The 18206-nt window shown below is 48.5% G+C and overlaps 2 protein-coding genes and 1 long non-coding RNA gene across 12 annotated transcripts in view, besides 2 other annotated features; 2 read left to right on the forward strand and 1 right to left on the reverse strand.

Moving 5' to 3' along the window:
- Positions 1–10850, forward strand: part of MACF1 (microtubule actin crosslinking factor 1) — a 402972-nt gene extending 392122 nt beyond the window's left edge. For 2 of the 3 annotated variants that reach the window (NM_012090.5, NM_001397473.1), the window contains 3 exons: positions 3510–3721; positions 8313–8442; positions 9250–10850. In NM_012090.5, coding sequence (NP_036222.3) covers positions 3510–3721; positions 8313–8442; positions 9250–9506 — 599 coding nt within the window. In that variant the 3' untranslated portion in view covers positions 9507–10850. Of the gene's footprint in view, positions 1–3509; positions 3722–4631; positions 4743–8312; positions 8443–9249 lie in introns of all 3 variants that reach the window. The other variant, NM_001394062.1, reaches the window with a different exon arrangement.
- LOC124904101 (uncharacterized) lies at positions 10668–15260 on the reverse strand. The gene is made up of 2 exons (XR_007065978.1): positions 14401–15260; positions 10668–13839 (listed from the first exon to the last, which is right to left on the reverse strand). It is a non-coding gene; the product is annotated as an uncharacterized LOC124904101 (long non-coding RNA).
- Positions 14847–15476: a silencer, noted in NCBI's record as "silent region_700". NCBI's record gives its function as "represses an Ori minimal core promoter by ATAC-STARR-seq in GM12878 lymphoblastoid cells {active_cell/tissue: GM12878}" and the evidence as "EXISTENCE:reporter gene assay evidence [ECO:0000049][PMID:35858748]".
- The window catches only part of BMP8A (bone morphogenetic protein 8a), a 38234-nt gene continuing 35375 nt past the window's right edge, over positions 15348–18206 (forward strand). For all 8 annotated transcript variants that reach the window (XR_946641.3, XR_946640.3, XR_946642.3 and 5 more), the window contains exon 1: positions 15348–16037. Coding sequence is in view for 5 of the 8 variants with exons in the window: in NM_181809.4 (NP_861525.2) it covers positions 15704–16037 (334 nt within the window). In the remaining 3 variants the exon portion in view is untranslated. The remainder of the gene's footprint in view (positions 16038–18206) is intronic.
- Positions 15577–15676: a silencer, noted in NCBI's record as "silent region_701". NCBI's record gives its function as "represses an Ori minimal core promoter by ATAC-STARR-seq in GM12878 lymphoblastoid cells {active_cell/tissue: GM12878}" and the evidence as "EXISTENCE:reporter gene assay evidence [ECO:0000049][PMID:35858748]".

Consider the following 18206-nt stretch of genomic DNA (forward strand, 5'->3'; position numbering starts at 1 on the left):
GGCTGGGCGCGGTGGCTCATGCCTGTAATCCCAGCACTTTGGGAGGCCGAGGCGGGCAGATCACGAGGTCAGGAGATGGAGACCATCCTGGCTAACATGGTGAAACCCCATCTCTACTAAAAATACGAAAAATTAGCCAAGCGTGGTGGCCACGCGCCTGCAGTCCCAGCTACCCAGGAGGCTGAGGCAGAAGAATCACTTGAACCCAGGAGGCGGAGGTTACAGTGAGCCAAGATTGGGCCACTGCACTCCAGCCTGGGCAACAGAACAAGACTCTGTCTCAAAAAAAAAAAAGAAAGAAAGAAATTTATCCTAAGGAAATATCGTGGATACATGCAAAATGTTTTACAAATTGTCACAGCATTGGCTACAATGTTTAAAATATTTAAACAAAAATGCAATATTGGACTGGTTAAATAAATTCACATCCATATGATGAAATAATACTTAGCAGCTAGTTAAAATTTTGCATGAGACATGTAGGGCATGGAGTAAAGTTTCTGATTTTTTTAATATATACAAGCTGGGCATGGTGGATCACGCCTGTAATCCTAGCACTTTGGGAGGCTGAGGCGGGTGGATCACCTGGGGTCAGGTCAGTGTTTTTGAAACACTGTCCTCCCCGGCTTCAAGGACGCCTGCTCCCTTGCTGACCACTTCTCCCTGCCCACTTCTAAAACATGGATGTCTGCTGGGCCTGTCCACAGTCCCGTTCTCCCTCTTAGATATATATACACACACATATATACACTTAGTGTATATATATATATATATATATATATATATATATATATATATATATACACACACACACATATATACACTTAGTGTATATATATATATATATACACACACACACACACACAGATGTGCAAAGGAGTAAGACACACCATTATAATAGTGATGTCCCTTGGGTTGTGAGATTAAGCGACTTTTGTTGTTGTTTTGGTTTTTGAGACAGCGTCTTAATTTCTCACCCAGGTTAGAGTGCAGTGGTGTGATGACAGCTCACTGCAGCCTTGACTTCCCAGGCTCAAGCAATCCTCCCACCTCAGCCTCCAGAGTAGCTGGATCTGCAGGCACATGCCACCATGCCTAGCTAATTTTTTAATTTTTTGCAGAGATGGAGTTTCATCATGTTGTCCAGGCTGGTCTCCAACCTGGGCTCGAGCAGTCTGCCCTCCTCAGCCTCCCAAAGTGCTGGGATTACAGGCATGAGACACCACACCCAGCCATTAAGCAATTTTCATTGCCCTCCTGAGATAGAGGTTGTCAGTGACCTTTGCCAGAGCAATTTCCATGAGTGGTGGGGATGGAAGCGTGAGTGGTCTGAGGGGAGGAGTGGAGACAGCGAATGTAGGTGGTGATGGAGAGAGCTAGGCTGGGAATGTCTTGGGGGTCGGGGGACAAAGAGGACAACTCAAGTGGAAGACGTGGGTTCTAGGTCCACCTCTACTGCCACTTTGCTTGACCTCAGCCTCTGTGAGTACTTAAGTGTCTCTGTAACATAGGGATGCTAATTACAGTCAGCTGCATTATTGCACATTCTGTGAACTGTGCAGTGCATAGGGAACATATCACCATTATGGCATTAGAGAATGCCCTTCCTAAAACATTTAAAATGTCACTTCCTTCAACTGCAATGCAATTTCAAAGTTTTCCTCTTATATCTTTTTTTTTTTTTTCCTGGCAGAGTTTGCTCAGAAGTGAATTTTTTTTTTTTTTTTTTTTTGAGATGGGGTCTCACTCTGTCACCCAGGCTGGAGTGCAGTGGCACGATCTCGGCTCACTGCAGCCTCCGCCTCCTGGGTTCAAGTGATTCTCCTGCCTCAGCCTCCTGAGTAGCTGGGACTACAGGCATGCACCAACATGCCCAGCTAAATTTTTTATTTTTAGTAGAGACGGGGTTTTGCCATGTTGGCCAAGCTGGTCTTGAACTCCTGGCCTCAGGTGATCTACCTGCCTTGGCCTCCCAAAGTGCTGGGATTACAGACATGAGCCACTTCGCCCGGCCAAGGGTCATGTATTGTTGAGGCTTGAGGAGGAAGGAAACACTGGATCATGGAAGGAAACAGCTTAGCATTTCAGGGACCATTAAGTCATAGATCATCCAGACAACAGGGCTCTTAGAGATCGGTTGACCTGATCGCCTCTGGTGAGCCTGAGGAAACTGAGGCCAGAGCAGGAAAAAAATCACAGTTGGCAGCAGAGCTTGGACTATAACTCAGAGGTTTTGGTATCCAAGTGAGTGCTTTTAACCTGATACTTTGATATGTTCTGTCAACATATAATATATTGAGAAGAATTTGGATTTGATTTAGGAATTTGGAACCATGCTGCTTGGACACTTATGCAACCTGATTTAAAACACTGATTCTACCAAAATTCCTCAAATTCCTTAAGGGACATATGGGGTAGCACAGATGAGAAGGTGGACAAAATTTCCTGCCACCTTCTAGATTTATGGTTTCTGACCAGTTAAACATCTGTTATAGAAAAGAATGACAAATATTTTGTTCATAATGATTCCCTTTTCTCCAGCAGTCCCATTTGTTTAGCTGTGTCTAGTACTTCATAAAGAGTGCACAGTTTAGGGTGGATGAGGAGGTAGAGGGTTTCTGCAGGATTACATCTTACAGTGAGAAATAATCTAAGAACATATTCCAGAGGGATTATGTCTTTTAAATTAGTAGCATCTTTCGCATTTAACATTTTTGTTGGCTGTGCGTGAGATCTTCCTATGGAATCCACATTTTAAGTTCTGGGTGTGCAGCCCCAGAAAGCCATAAGACAGCGCTAACTGGCTTCCCGTGCCGACTCCACGTTCTTTGCATCTTGATGTTCCTCCTACTTGCAGTTACTCCTTTGGCCTTTTATTGCTTTCAGTTTTTCACTTAACAGTTTCTCACTAGCAAGTTTTGTGCATGGTCTTGATCTCTTTCTCTCTCCCCACCGACATGTTTACTTCTTAATGATTCTCTCCTGATCTTTTTACTGTCCTGAGTTCCTGGACTCCTTTCTTTAGGATTGTTACTGACTGAATTCAAATAGAAGAGTCTAGACAATATCGATTTCAGTAATGTTTTTCTCTACTCTTTCATTACCACATATCCTGCAAAAATTAAGCAAAAAGTACACATGTACTAAGAGAGAGAAAAGAGGGGTTTTGATTTAACTTCAGAGGTTTACGAACTGTTGCATCTGCTTTACCTCAAGCAGTCAGTGTGCTTACCCCAGGGACAGTGGCAAAGCAAGACGCTAGCAGCAGAGTGGGCTGGTCCTTTATACACAGAGACTTGCTTATTATACAGTTAACATATCTGCTATGGGTAGGAACCTTGACAAGGCTGATGTGTCATGAATTTATCTCTATTTTTGAAGAACCCACAGATGGTACTAAACCCATATAACTTATATAACTGTTATCATGGGGTCAAGCCGCTGTATAACCGTCAAAAATATATTTTTTAGAAGAACTGACATTGTGTGTGTGTTTATTTCCTTTTTAGCACGAGGTAGAACTAACATTGAACTTAGAGAGAAATTCATCCTACCAGAGGGAGCATCCCAGGGAATGACCCCCTTCCGCTCACGGGGTCGAAGGTCCAAACCATCTTCCCGGGCAGCTTCCCCTACTCGTTCCAGCTCCAGTGCTAGTCAGAGTAACCACAGCTGTACATCCATGCCATCTTCTCCAGCCACCCCAGCCAGTGGAACCAAGGTATGTACTGATCTCCATTATGCCCTTCTTCCCCAATCCCACCCTCACAGATGTTCATTGTTCACGGTAGCCTCTGAAAGACTCCAGTGAGGAGAAGAAATAAAAATGAAAACATGTTTTCTATTTTAGAAATAAAACGTGAAAACACACAGATCAAGACTGCCCTGTTCCTAGCAGTACACAGATATATGGCCTTTAAGATGACTCCAAAGGACATTTATTAAAATATGCACTCAGCCTGGTTATGTCAGAAATGTTTATTTCCTCATGTTCTCAGTTTAAGTTTGAGCCCATCCAGTGTTACTACTTTTGAAAATCCAGGCTGGACACAGTGGCTCATGCCTGTAATCCCAGCCTTTGGGAAGCTGTGGTGGGAGGATCCCTTGAGACCAGAAGTTGAAGACCAGCGTGGGCAACATAGCAAGACCATCTCTACAAATTTCTAAATTTATCATCTCTAATTTTTAAATTTAGCCTAGCATGGTGGTGAGCACCTATAGTCCCAGCTACTCAGGAAGCTGAGGCAAGAGGATTGCTTGAGCCCAGGAATACAAGGCTGCAGTAAGCTATGAACTGCACCACTGCACTCCAGCCTGGGCAACAGAGTGAGACTCTGTCTCTAAAAAATAAAAATTAAAAAAAAAAAAAATAAGGAAAAAGGACAGAAAATCCAGGCACTGGCTGTGCAGTGGAGCTAACAGCTAAGTTTGATGTTATGATGGGTTATGTGTGAATGATGTTAGTGCCTGCCTGGTCCTTCTCATCCTGATGGACCAACATGCATTTTATTTTGTTTTCTGTTTCTTTAAAATTTAGTATCTTCTATTTATTTTTTTCTGTTCCCAATGTGCACCCTTTTTGTTCCTTTTTCAATTGTTCCTGTCCTTCCCTTTGGATTTCCGTTTCACAGACTTCACTTCAGTTCTCTCGCTGTTATGACAAACCCTGGTTGGTAAACAGTAAAGCTGGCACCCCTATCAGGGACAGCCATTCTCCTGACCTCCAGCTGCCCACCCCCGAGGTAGAGTATGGCTTTGCTGACTGAGGACACAGTCAAGACGAGGCCCTCGCTACTGGACTTGACCAGCTCTTCTTCCTGACACGAATCCCTGCACTCTTTCATCTCTGTGGTGCTTGCTGTCACAGCTGATTCATCTAGTCCAGTGTTTTCAGGGGTTTCTAACTCGGATTCACCAAAATTGGAGAGAAATAAGAGATGCCTGAAACTAGATTAATAACTTTATAACAATCTTGAGAATGATATTTGCTGAGAATGGTAAATGATGGTCATTGCTGTAGATTTGTTTATTGATGTCATTTATAATCAGGCCTCTTGGAATCTCCAAATGTCAGATACTCAGACGAGTTATGAACACTTGAAATTCAACTATGGCGCATGTTCTACAATGTTCTGTCTTTGCTTAGAACAGAAGAGTGGTTGGCGCCACCTGCCCTGAGACACATGTCCAGGGTGGTTGGTATTGCCACACCACACTGGTCCGAGGCGTGGGTGCTGTCTCCTTCAGCCAAGCACAGCACCAGTGAACACTGACCTGAGGCTCACATTCTAGCTTCTGAATTTCTTGGCCTAGGCACTTGAGTTTCTGTAGCCTTGATTTGAATACACATGCCAGCAATTAAGCATGTTCAAGTGCAGCCATTAAAGTGCCTGAACGCTTTTGGAAGAGCAGTGTTTTAGAAATAAAACATGGACTAGTGGCTTGTCTGATAGTAGTGCAGTTTGCATTCCAGCTCCTACCAAGAAACATTGGATTCTTGTGCCTCAAGACAGTGTTGCCTTCAGTCTTGGAAAGCCTTAGCCAGGGAAACAAGGGATGCACAAGAAGTCAATGGCTATGAATGAGCTGCTGTTTTGAGGTTCATTTCACTTCAAGCTAAAACTCCAGTTCAGAAATATATCTGGTTTAGAATATGATCTGGGGACCTACTGCCACTAAACTACTAGACTCACCCTGCTTATCTTGCTTTTCTTCTTTCCTTAATGGCTCCAGTTTCATAAAAATCTCAGTTCTATTTTAAATTTTAGATGTTTAATGATGTACAAATTCTCATACAGTTCTGATAAATCAGGGCTTTTGTTCTGTCTTAAGGTTTTATTTTCTGTTTCATTTCATTTTGAGGCTTCATCTTTCCTTACTTATTGGTGTTCTGTAGCCAGGCCATCTCCTGACTTGGAATTCTAGCCCGGGTTCTAGCTGTGGTCTTCCAGCAGCAGTGCGCAGGAACCTTAGCTTCTGAAACTGGTGTTCTTCCTCCTATGTGGCCAGGAAATTTTGTGCTTGAGTGTTAATCACTTTCTATCGCTTATGCTTTTTCTTTATAAATTTAAGAAGTACAGCAAACAATGAGATGGATTGCTTTTCTCTTCTGTTTGCATAAACGTCTTAAAGGTCCTGGAAAACAATTTACATAATTGATTTCAAAGAAAAATTAGAATGGCATGCTGTAGCATGTGGCATAAGTAATGTTTTGGGGGTTTTTTTGTTTGTTTGTTTGTTTGTTTTTTCATTTTTTAAAAAGCAAAGTAGAGACAAGGTCAAATAATGGATGTTTAAAACATTTAAGGATCAGCCTGGTCAACATGGCAAAACCCCATCTCTACTAAAAATACAGAATTAGCTGGGTGTGGTGGCAGGCGCCTGTTGTCCCAGCTACATGGGAGGCTGAGGCAGGAGATCACTTGAACCTGGGAGGCAGAGGTTGCAGTGAGCCAAGATTGTGCCACTGCACTCCAGCCTGGGCAACAGAGTGAGACTGCCTCAAAAAAAAAAAAAAAAAAAAAAAACCCCACACAGATTTAAGGCTGGACATGGTGGCTCACCCCTGTAATCCCAACACTTTGTGAGGCCGAGGTGGGCAGATCACTTGAGCCCAGGAGTTCAAGACCAGCCTGGGCAACATGGAGAAACCCTGTCTCTACAAAAAATACAAAAATAAGCCAGCCACTAGGGAGGCTGAGGTGGGAGGATTGCTTGAGCCTGGGAGGTCGAGGCTGCAATGAGCCATGAAGTATGCCACTGTGCTCCAGTCTGGGTGATGGAGCAAGACTCTGTCTCAAAAAAAAAAAAAAAAAAAAAAAAAACACCCACACATTTAAAATACTCTTTTTCCTCCAGTTAAGCCTACTATCTAAAAAACCAAAAAAAATCACTCAAATAGGAAACATAGCACCTATTGGTAGCAGTGATAATAATATGTAGCTCTTTTCCAGTTTGGGAAATGCTTCTATTCATCATTTATTCATGCAAGTTTTTATTGAGTTCCTCTTCTGTGCTGTGCAGAACACAGGAAGCAGGGGAGAGAATAGAAGTGTACAAGCAGTGTTCTGAGTAGTGAGACAAGACCTCTCTACTAAGGTCATCCTTTCAATAGAGCCCCTGCAGGGAATGAGGGGGTGAGCCACACGTGTATCTGGGGTAGGCTTGGGGTGTGGTGATTGTGCAACAACAGTCCAGGCAAAATGAACAGCAAGGGGACAAGACTGGTGGACCCTCACTGGGCCATTGGTGGAACAGCAAGGAAGCTAGTGTGGCTGGGATGGACTGATGAGGAGTGTGGTAGAAATGAAGTCAAAGAGGCAGGATTTAATCCCTGATTTCCCAAGAGAGAAGCAAAGACACAGGTGTTAATTTCAATCAGTCCTGGAACCCAGACTCAAACCCAGGTCTCCTGGTTCTTCATGCACAGACTTGTTCCTGATGTCTCAGTCCCACAGTCGTGTGCTTCTCATAGTTTATTTGATCCACAAGTTAAGTAATTTTATCTGCATTTTACCAGTAAGGATAATGACTAAAAGATCTTACTAAAGTTACTGCACCTACTTAGTGTTAAGAGATTGGGGCCAGGTGCGGTGGCTCACACCTGTAATCCTAGCACTTTGGGAGGCTGAGGTGGGCAGATCACAAGGTCAGGAGATCGAGACCATCCTGGCTAACACGGTGAAACCCCGTCTCCACTAAAAAATACAAAAAAATTAGCTGGACGTGGTGGCGGGTGCCTGTAGTCCCAGCTACTTCGGAGGCTGAGGCAGGAGAATGGTGTGAACCCAGGAGGCAGAGCTTGCGGTGATCCGAGATTGCACCACTGCACTCCAGCCTGGGTGACAGAGCGAGACTCCGTCTCAAAAAAATAAAATAAAAAAAGATTGGAGTAATACTTGAATCTCCATATCAAATAGGTGGGCTAAAACTCATTTCAAATTTTTAACCCCAAAATCTTGATACCTAGTATTATTTGAATTTCTTTTTCCTTTACTCATTCACCATAATTGTTTGTTGTAACTATTGTATTCTTACTGAGGATTTTTTTTTTTTCATTTCTAGGGGAAATTAGTAAAACAAAAGGTATTTGAAGACATTTTGAAATTTTTATTTGGAACATAAAACTTTGATTTTGGGAATTATCAAAATATATGACCTAGGATACTTTAAGAGAAATCTTTGTTTTCCTGGACTTTTAATTTGCTTTTCAACTAAGCAAATATAAGGAGGTGTAAGGAGACCTTTTAAAGTTGAATTTCTGGCAAAGATTTTACCAAGTAAAATGTGACCTTTTTATTATTTTTTTTAAGGTTATCCCATCATCAGGTAGCAAGTTGAAACGACCAACACCAACTTTTCATTCTAGTCGGACATCCCTTGCTGGTGATACCAGCAATAGTTCTTCCCCGGCCTCCACAGGTGCCAAAACTAATCGGGCAGGTAAGTACCTGCCCCGTGACCTACAAGCCAGGCTGAGAATTTGGAAACAACAGCCTATGTGGAATGTTTCACTGCTCCCAAGGAGCGGGTAATGAGAGTGGCACTTAGTGTGATGCCCAGAAAGACAGACCTGCAGATGCTCAAGTGACCTTTACTTTTTCTGTCATTACAGCTAGCTTTAAGCTTTCCTTCTGAGATGAGATGCTTCCACAGCCAAAGCTGGGCCATGCGTTCTCATCAGAAATGATCACATTTGAGAGAATGTAAAAGGAAATGTGGGTCTTCCTCAGACACCAGTCCAGTGTTGGGATGAGCAGCTTGCTAGTAATTTTTCCAACACGTCATACTTACTATGGCTGCTGTTGAACCAAGAAAGGCAGGGGAAGATCACATCTGTTCTCCTGCTACTGTTCCTCATGGGAACCTAGGAATCTTCCTTCATTTCCTGGCTGGCTGCTTCCCCTCATTTTGCCTCTATCCATCCTGCCCATGGATTAGCCCGGCTGGCAGGCTCACCCACCTGTGCTGAGGTGGTTGAGCAACCTTGCTTGCCTCCACTTTGGGGCCATGGAAGGTGACAGTGCTGCTGATAGAGTGGCTTTCTAATCCCCAGGAGGCAGCTTCTCAAGTAGAATCACAAAGCCAGAAAAGGCTTCAGCAACTTCTGTATGGATGAGGAAACTGGGGTGCAGAAAGGCTGTGAGATTTGCTTAAGATCACACAGGATCAGAACCCTAGCTTCTGCTCACTTGTTCTTCCACCCCATGCCATCTCTATTAAGTCTGCTGTTTTATTCTTGAATTCCAGACCCTAAAAAGTCTGCCAGTCGCCCTGGGAGTCGGGCTGGGAGTCGAGCCGGGAGTCGAGCCAGCAGCCGGCGAGGAAGTGACGCTTCTGACTTTGACCTCTTAGAGACGCAGTCTGCTTGTTCCGACACTTCAGAAAGCAGCGCTGCAGGGGGCCAAGGCAACTCCAGGAGAGGGCTAAACAAACCTTCCAAAATCCCAACCATGTCTAAGAAGACCACCACTGCCTCCCCCAGGACTCCAGGTCCCAAGCGATAACACTGTCTAAGCACCCCCAAGCCACTATCCACTTTGAATCCTGCTCCATACATTGGGTGTATATTTATTCTGAACGGGAGAAGTTATATTGTTAAAAGTGTAAAAGAATAATTGTGTTATGAAGCTGCCTTATTTTTTTTCTTTTTGTAAGTTACTATTTTCATGTGAATATTTATGTAGATAAAATTTGCCTCCTGGTAACCCTGTAATGGATGGGGCCCAGAAATGAAATATTTGAGAAAAACAAGTGAAAAGGTCAAGATACAAATGTGTATTAAAAAAAAAAAAGCCTATTAATAGGGTTTCTGCGCGGTGCAGGGTTGTAAACCTGCTTTATCTTTTAGGATTATTCCTAAATGCATCTTCTTTATAAACTTGACTTGCTATCTCAGCAAGATAAATTATATTAAAAAAATAAGAATCCTGCAGTGTTTAAGGAACTCTTTTTTTGTAAATCACGGACACCTCAATTAGCAAGAACTGAGGGGAGGGCTTTTTCCATTGTTTAATGTTTTGTGATTTTTAGCTAAAGAGAGGGAACCTCATCTAAGTAACATTTGCACATGATACAGCAAAAGGAGTTCATTGCAATACTGTCTTTGGATATTGTTTCAGTACTGGGTGTTTAAAGGACAAATAGCTGCTAGAATTCAGGGGTAAATGTAAGTGTTCAGAAAACGTCAGAACATTTGGGGTTTTAAACTGATTTGTTGCTCCCTATCCAGCCTAGACACCAGTAACTCTTGTGTTCACCAGGACCCAGACCCTTGGCAAGGGATAGGCTCGTTGGTGACATTGTGAATTTCAGATTTGTTTTATCCACTTTTTTTGCTATTTATTTAAATGGTCGATCAACTTCCCACAAACTGAGGAATGAATTCCACGAGCCTGTTCTGAAAATGTGGACGTAAGACAAACACGTGCTCGTCCTTTAATGGAGTTCACCAGCACACTTGTTAACCAGTCCTGTTTGCTTTCGTCTTTTTTTGTGCGTAATAAAGTCAACTGACCAAGTGACCATGAAAAGGGGCTGTCTGGGGCTCCTGTTTTTTAGCTGCTGTTCTTCAGCTCCGACCATGTTGCTGTGTGATTATCTCAATTGGTTTTAATTGAGGCAGAAACTGAAGCTCTACCAATGAACTGTTTAGAAACAAGACACACTTTTGTATTAAAATTGCTTGCAGTAACAAATATTTTGTATTTCCTGATTTTCTTTTCAACTATTACCTTATCTATAAATGTTACCCTGGGGTATAATCATGTTGTAGGTACTTAAATGCATTCCGCAAATCAAAATATCTTGATGGATAAATTATAGAGCTTAATAGATCTTGTTTTATTTCATCCTTGTTAATTTTGTTTAATATGGCTGGGCATGGTGGCTCACGCCCATAATCCCAGCACTATGGGAGGCCAAGGCAGGAGGATCACTTGAGTTCAGGAGTTGGAGACCAGCCTGGGAAACATAGTAAGACCTTGTATCTACTAAAACTAAAGAAACAATTAGGCATGGTGGCACATGCCTATAGCCGCAACTACTAGGGAACTTAAGGTGGGAGGATCACTTGAGCCTGGGAAGTCAAGGCTACAGTGAGCCACGATTGCACCACTGCACCCCAGCCTGGGTGACACAGCGAGACCCTGTCTCAAAAAAAAAGACAAGCTATTAACATGAACATGTAGGATATCTGTCCTACTTACATGATTAAACAAATAGTATTATGTAAAAAGATACTAGAAATCATGGAGATCCTGGGTTCTCAGAATGGGACCAGTTTGTCACACTATGTCACAGTATGCTGAAATTTCTGGTTAAATGGTAGAATTTCAGAGGTGGAAGCAAAATCGGTCATCATATCTAGCTCCTTTGTTTTACAGATGGAGAAACTGGGATGGGAAAGTACAAGAGAAAGTGATTTCCCTGAGCTCACAAAATGAATAAATGACAGAAGTGAACCTTGAATCCAGTCCTCGACTCCCTGTTCAAGTCTGGCACTTCTATTTCCTCCAGCCTCTAGTCAGTTGGCTTTATAATAGAGCAGCCAAATGTTAACTTAGTAATAAGAAGAAAAGGGCTAGAGGCTTCGGAGGTAAAGGGGCTAAGACTCATGCCACCTGTGTTCTTGGTCATTAGGCCGCATTCCTTAGGACATAGGCATTTGGTGAGATCGATGCATGTTTGCCAAAGCTGTTAAGGCCAAATACCCAGATTAAAAGGAATTTGGAGCCTAATGGATTCTGAAGGAAGTGCTTACTCTGTTCTCCATGGAACTGGGGAACTTCAGGCTGCCAGGACTTTGTATAGGATAGTGTTTTCACCCTAATTTGCTTCCCCTTCTAGGCCTCTTGGCAGCAGAAGCATGTGAGACCAGCTTGACCTCCATCTTCCCAGATTGTGGGTTATGGTCCAGAATCTTACCAAGTAATTAAGGTTTTCTGGGGTTTTGTGGCAAAGTTCAGCTGGCAGCGGCACCAACGAAAAGTGCATTTCTTTTTTTTTCTTTTTTTTTTTTTCTTTTTTTTTTTTTTTTTTGAGATAGGGACTCATTCTGTTGCCCACTGGAGTGCAGTGGCGCAATCTGGGCTGACCGCAACCTCCGCCTCCCAAGCTCAAACTATTCTCCTGCCTCAGCCTCCTGAGTAGCTGGAGTTACAGGCACATGCTACCATGCCTGGCTAAAAAAAAGTGCATTTCCATTCAACAAATGCCTGTACACAAGACCATGTAGGAAATAACAAGATGCTAGGAAAAGGGTTAAAGTATAATCACAGTCCTGGGCCGGGTGTGGTGGCTTATTCCTGTAATCCCAGCACTTTGGGAGGCTGAGGCGGGTGGATCACCTGAGGTCAGGAGTTCAAGACCAGCTTGGTCAATGTGGTGAAACCCCGTCTCTACTAAAAATACAAAAATTAGCCAGGTGTGGTGGTGGGCACCTGTAATCCCAGCTACTCGGGAGGCTGAGGCAGGAGAATTGCTTAAACCTGGGAGACGGAGGTTGCAGTGAGCCAAGATTGCGCCATTGAACTCCAGCCTGCAAGAAAAGAGAAACTCCATCTCAAAAAATAAATAATAAGTAAATAAATATATATATATATAATCACAGTCCTGTGATAGAAATGCTAAATGAGGAAGGAAAATTTGGTGTCTGCTGGGGCCTTGAATGATGCAATAACTAGCTCATATTTATTGACTGCTTACTGTAAGCCAGTGATTGTGCTAAGTGCTCTATATACATTCTCACTGAATACGCTTAACAGTTCTATGATCATTAGCCCCCTTTTCTTGATAAGACACTGAGCCTGAGAGAGGTTAAGATCACAGAGTTGCCAGGTGGCTAGGGAAAACCCTTGTTTTGACACTACTTTCTCCAAGAAACCTACCCCACCTCAGTTCCCTTCCAGTCCTAATGTTCTGGATTCCACTCATGTGGTCTGCTCCCACTTCCCCGCTCCTCTGCCCTTACAGCCACTTTGCTGGCTCCTCTGGGAGCACAGCTTTCATTTTGCTTTGGGAAATTGCCGTGTTCACCAGCTGTCACCCCTGTTGCTGTGGGGGCTGCTCAGGGGCAGGGGGCTTGTCTGCTCCATCTCTGGTTCAGGGCACAGCACAGAGCAGCTCACGGTGGTTGTTGCTGAACTGAAGCGTGGGCAGAGGCCCTTGGAATGGCTAAAATCTGCTGTTTAGGTTTATGGGAATGTGAAGCCCGTTGTTTAGAAAACACAGCTCTATCTCCACATCCTAAATTGAGAAATGATTTCTGTTATAAGAATCAGCCCAGCACTGGGCAGCTTGCAGTCTAGCTGGGAGCCCAGAATTGCACAAAACAAACCTGAGAATTGTACAGGCTGGATCTAGGGCCTCAAGTGATGTGCAGTGGATTCAAAAGGGGCGTGCAGAGAGGACAGTGAAGGGGGTGTGGGCAGGAGATTCCGAGACTCTGACCAAGATGACATGGGGACAAAGCCCTGTGGATTCAGCCTCCTAAACAGCTTTCTCCTCTGCCCCTCCACCCCATCACCATTAGAGACTCATGGTCATTGTACCCACCCCCACATCTGATTGCTGTACCTGCCTCCAACTGCAGGGCCCTGACTCCTGTCTCCCTCTGATCCATATTCCGCTCTGCTTCCAAGCTCTGGTCTTGGGTACTTTCAACGGTTATTCTGCATTATCCTTAGCTCAGTATCCTTATGGGACAGTCCCAGTCCGCAGGGTAGCCCCGGCTTCTAGGCGGTGGCATCCACATCTGCTCTGCCCGGAGCTGATGCAGGTGCCTCATGGGGGGCGCTCTGGGGACCGCGCAGAAAATTTACGAGCAGTGTGGAAATATACCTGTTGGGTAAAAGACAAACTAGGCGTGTGTTTAAGGCACCAGCAAATGACTATTTAGATTAAGAATTTGTTGTAGAAAATTTTATTGAAGTGATGACTTCCAAATGTGATTTTTGGGGGCATTATACACTTGCTTCGAGGTTTAATCTTCAATCCACATGGCGGGGCACCATAATCTCTGGTGCCCAGGGCCCTCGTCTAGCCCCTGTGAGGCCCTTTGCGGTGCCTCCCTTGCCAGCCCCTCCAGCCTCCGCCGTTTGCCCCCTGGGCTCTCCAGTTTCCACTGCCCCCCTGCCCGAGCGCAGCTCCACTGCTGTGTGACCTGGCGTAAGTCCCTTAACCGCCGTGTGCCTCAGTTTCCTCATTTATTAAAAGAGGAGGTTCCAGTGGTATGTACCCCCTAACGATGTGCGAGCATCACAGAAATGACACGAGACACACACTCAGAACATGCCTTGGCGTGGCAAGTGCTGACTGTTGCCATTATTAGGCTCCCCAGCCGGGGTCTCAGGGCCTTGGCACAAGCTATTCCCTCTGCCTGGAGCACTTTCCTCCACTGACCTTTCCTGGCGCTCCAGGTCAACTCCAGGAGCCTTCCCAGTGCAGTCTAGGTGCCTTCTCCTTCCGCAGCGCCTGAACCACACAGGAATAAGTAAGGCGAGAGCGCGCCCAGGGAAGAGCAGGTGTGCAGAAAGGGACTGAGTCAGTCGAGACGTTTCCGCGGGGATCCTTCTCTTGGCAGGCCTGCACCGGGGCCGTGGGGACTGAGAAGATGTGCACAGGTGGCTCCCGAGTGCTCGGGAAGGGCCCCAGAGCTTCTGGCCCAGCTGGAGGCAGGAGGCGGAGCCTCCTCCGCAAAGCTGGATCAGTACCGGGGACGCAGGGCGCACAGCTAGGGCTGGCGGGGGCGGCCCGACTGGGGCGCTGCCTGGGCTCACGCGGGAGCCAGGTGGGGGACGCAGGGAGAAGCAGCCGAGCAGGTGCCGAGAAGGAGGCGCCCGCAGAAGCGCATGCAGGGGCCACGGGGAAGGCGCCAGGAGGCGGTGAGGGGCCGCGGTGGCCGGAACCCGGGCCGGCTGCTGCGGGCAGAGGAACAGGCCCCACCCGCGGGGCTTGGCTGGCACCGCCCGGCTCTCCAGACGGGGCTACGGCCGCGTGTCGGGCCCGGTGGCGACCACGGCACACCACGGCGAGGCAGCCGGGTGGCACCACTGGCGGGACCGGGACGGCGCCGCGGCCTTAGGATCTCTGCGCCGAGGCCCGCGGCGGGAGCCACGACGGCCCTGACCACGCTGACGCCCAGGCTGCGGGCTCCTCGCCCGGACCAACCGCCAGCCACGCCGAGGTCGCACCTCGGGGTCGCCCCACCCGCAACACCTGCCGCCGCCCGGGGCTCCTAGCGGGCGCGGCCTCCGCGCCCAGGCCCCGCCCCCGCGCCCCCATTGGTCAGTCCCGGGGGTGGGCGGGCGGCACAGACGGCTGAGCCGGGGCAAGGACTCGCGGGAATCGCGCCGCCCGGGTCGCTGCCGGAGCTCGCCGGTCGCCCCTGCGCTGCGCGGACCGCAGCCACAGCCGGACTGGTGGGAACGGCGGCGACAGACGGATTGGCTGACAGTCCCAGCCCTCAGAACAGCCCCGGCCTCGAAGCGTTGGCGTCTGCGTCCGCGTCAGCGTCCGCTTGTCCCGGAGCCGGGGCAGGTGCGCGCGGGGGGCGCTCCAGGGACCGCGCTGAGGCCGCAGACGCCGCCCGCCGAGCCCCGCCCCCTGCTCGCCGAACTCAGCTCCCCGTTCGCCGTCGGGGCGTCCCCGGGCCCAGGGGCGGCGGCGGAGCTGATGTGCGCCCGCTGAGCGCCCCCGGCCCGCCATGGCCGCGCGCCCCGGACCGCTCTGGCTTCTGGGCCTGACGTTGTGCGCGCTGGGCGGGGGCGGCCCCGGCCTGCGACCCCCGCCCGGCTGTCCCCAGCGACGTCTGGGCGCGCGCGAGCGCCGGGACGTGCAGCGCGAGATCCTGGCGGTGCTCGGGCTACCCGGGCGGCCCCGGCCCCGCGCGCCACCCGCCGCCTCCCGGCTGCCCGCGTCCGCGCCGCTCTTCATGCTGGACCTGTACCACGCCATGGCTGGCGACGACGACGAGGACGGCGCGCCCGCGGAGCAGCGCCTGGGCCGCGCCGACCTGGTCATGAGCTTCGTCAACATGGGTGAGTGCGGCCGCCCGCGCGGGGACCCTCGGAGTAAGCTGGCTGCAGGGGAGGGGCGCGCATCCGCGGGCGGTGCCGGGCCCTGGCCGAACGGGGAATCACAGACGGTGGACGCGAACCACAGGGGAGTGGGACCGCCGTGGTTAGGGAAGGTCTAAGGGTCATGGGGGCCCCCTGGGCTGCGGGGTGGTCAGGAGCAGAGTGTGGGGGACTGTGGACTCCCAGGCGCTGCCTTCACCCTGCCCCAGACACACCCAGGAGTAAGAATTAGGTGATGTCTTTGCCCACCTGGGCTGCCCCGGGAAGACAGCCTGGTCCTGGGGAGACAGGTGAGTAAACAGAGGCCGGGATGCTGTCACTGTGATAAGGACAGTACTGAGGAGAGGGACAAAGTTCAGCGTGGAAACCTGTGGTCACATCATCGGAGTGACCAGAGCTGAGTCGCGTGCCCTGAGTCCACAGCAGGCTCTTCCCTGTGCGGAGCCTGGGTGGGGTGCGGCTGTCAGGGGAGCGGCTGGGGAAGGAGCAGACTCAGCTCGCTGGGGCAGGGACTGTGGCCTTGTCACCCTGGGCCCTGCACTTAGCATGTGGCCTGGTATAGGGTGAGTGTCCGGTCCTGTGGAATGGCCCAGTGGGCAGCTGGACCCACTGTGTTCTCCCAGGCAAAGCCGGGCTTTTCCTGTCTGCAAACATCTTGTATCAAACCCTGGAGCTATTTATTCCTTAAGATCTCAGATTTTTCTTTTCCAGTACTAAACTCTTTGGTCTATGCTCGTGTAGTTACTGTTGGTCAGGTCCCCCGTCTGCTTTGCCTCCTGTCTGTGGCTAGTGACAGGCCGGGGTCTGGGAGCCAAGGACCACAGCTCAGCCCGAAGTGGGGGAGCTGTGGGGCTGAGAGCAGGGAGTGGGTACCTGCCCCAGCCACCAGCCTCCCTCCACAGACAGCATCATTAATTCTTCATCCTCCCGACAACCCTGATAACAGCCACGGTCTTCATCCCCATCTCCCAGATGAGGACAGTGAGGTTCAGAGAGGCAGCGCCATGCCTAGGACAGCGCAGCCTCTATGTTGCTGAGCCAGGACAGGCCCAGGAAGCCTGACTGTCCATCCAGGGCTCAATGAGATGACATTTCTGTTGTCAGGTCAGGCTTTCAGGGTGCAGAGAGCTTTCTGAGGAGTCTGGGCTGAGGAACACAGGGTACTGAGCTGCAGCAGGTCTTGTGGGGCCATCAGCCATTTGCTTCCTACACTAGAGCAGAAGAGGGCATGGCCAAGCCTCTGCTTCCCGCAACCCAGAGCTGGTGGTGGAGGCGAGCAGCAGAAGGCAGCCATTCACCATCGCTGAGCGCCCAGTGCCAGGGACAGGACTCTAGCCGGTGGGATCTGTATGCTGCCTTTGTAGTTAGAGGACAGGGTGGGGATGTGGGACAGAGGAGACCATCTGTGAAGCTGGGGCTGGGGCTCTGTCATCAGGACAGGCTGACACTGGGCTCAGGACCAAGAAGAGTTGTGGATGGAGTCGTCCAAGAATGTCCCCAGGGAGCCGCCCATCAGAATGCGTCACCACCCAGCCCACATCCGACCTCCCCTGGCATCCCCTGGGTCAAGGCATGCACAGCCTGGTGGGGCTGTTGCTGTGAATTGGGCAGGGCCCACCCCTCTGTGTGACCTTAGGGAAGTTCCTCACCTTCTCAGCCTTGGTTGCTCCTTATAAAAGGAGGTGCCTGGTGATCTGTCCTCAGGGTTGTTGTGTGATTGGTAGAGGGGCAGGAGTAGAAAGCCTGTGCTGCTCCCCTCAGAGGGTGAACCTGGACCTGGGCACTGTTGGCCTCCCAGCTGTGGCCCAGCCTTAGTGTGGAGGTGACAGGAACATCTCCACATGTCTTGTACACGTGAAACCCAGAAATGAACTCTAAAAGCCAATCAAAGGTGTTTGTACTTATTTTTAAAATGAAAAGTAGCATGTGAACTTTTTCTTTTCTTTTCTTTTCCTTTCTTTCCTTCTTTCTTTCTTTTTTCTTTTTTCTTTTTTTTTTTTTTAAGAGGCAGGGTTTCACTGCATTCCCCAGGCTGGAGTGTAGTGGTGCGATTATAGCTCACTGCAACCTCTAATTCCCGGGCTCCAGCAATCTTCCTCCCTCAGCCTCCCCAGTAGCTAGGGCTACAGT

This window comes from Homo sapiens, chromosome 1 (assembly GCF_000001405.40).
Source record: "Homo sapiens chromosome 1, GRCh38.p14 Primary Assembly".
Taxonomy (NCBI): domain Eukaryota; kingdom Metazoa; phylum Chordata; class Mammalia; order Primates; family Hominidae; genus Homo; species Homo sapiens.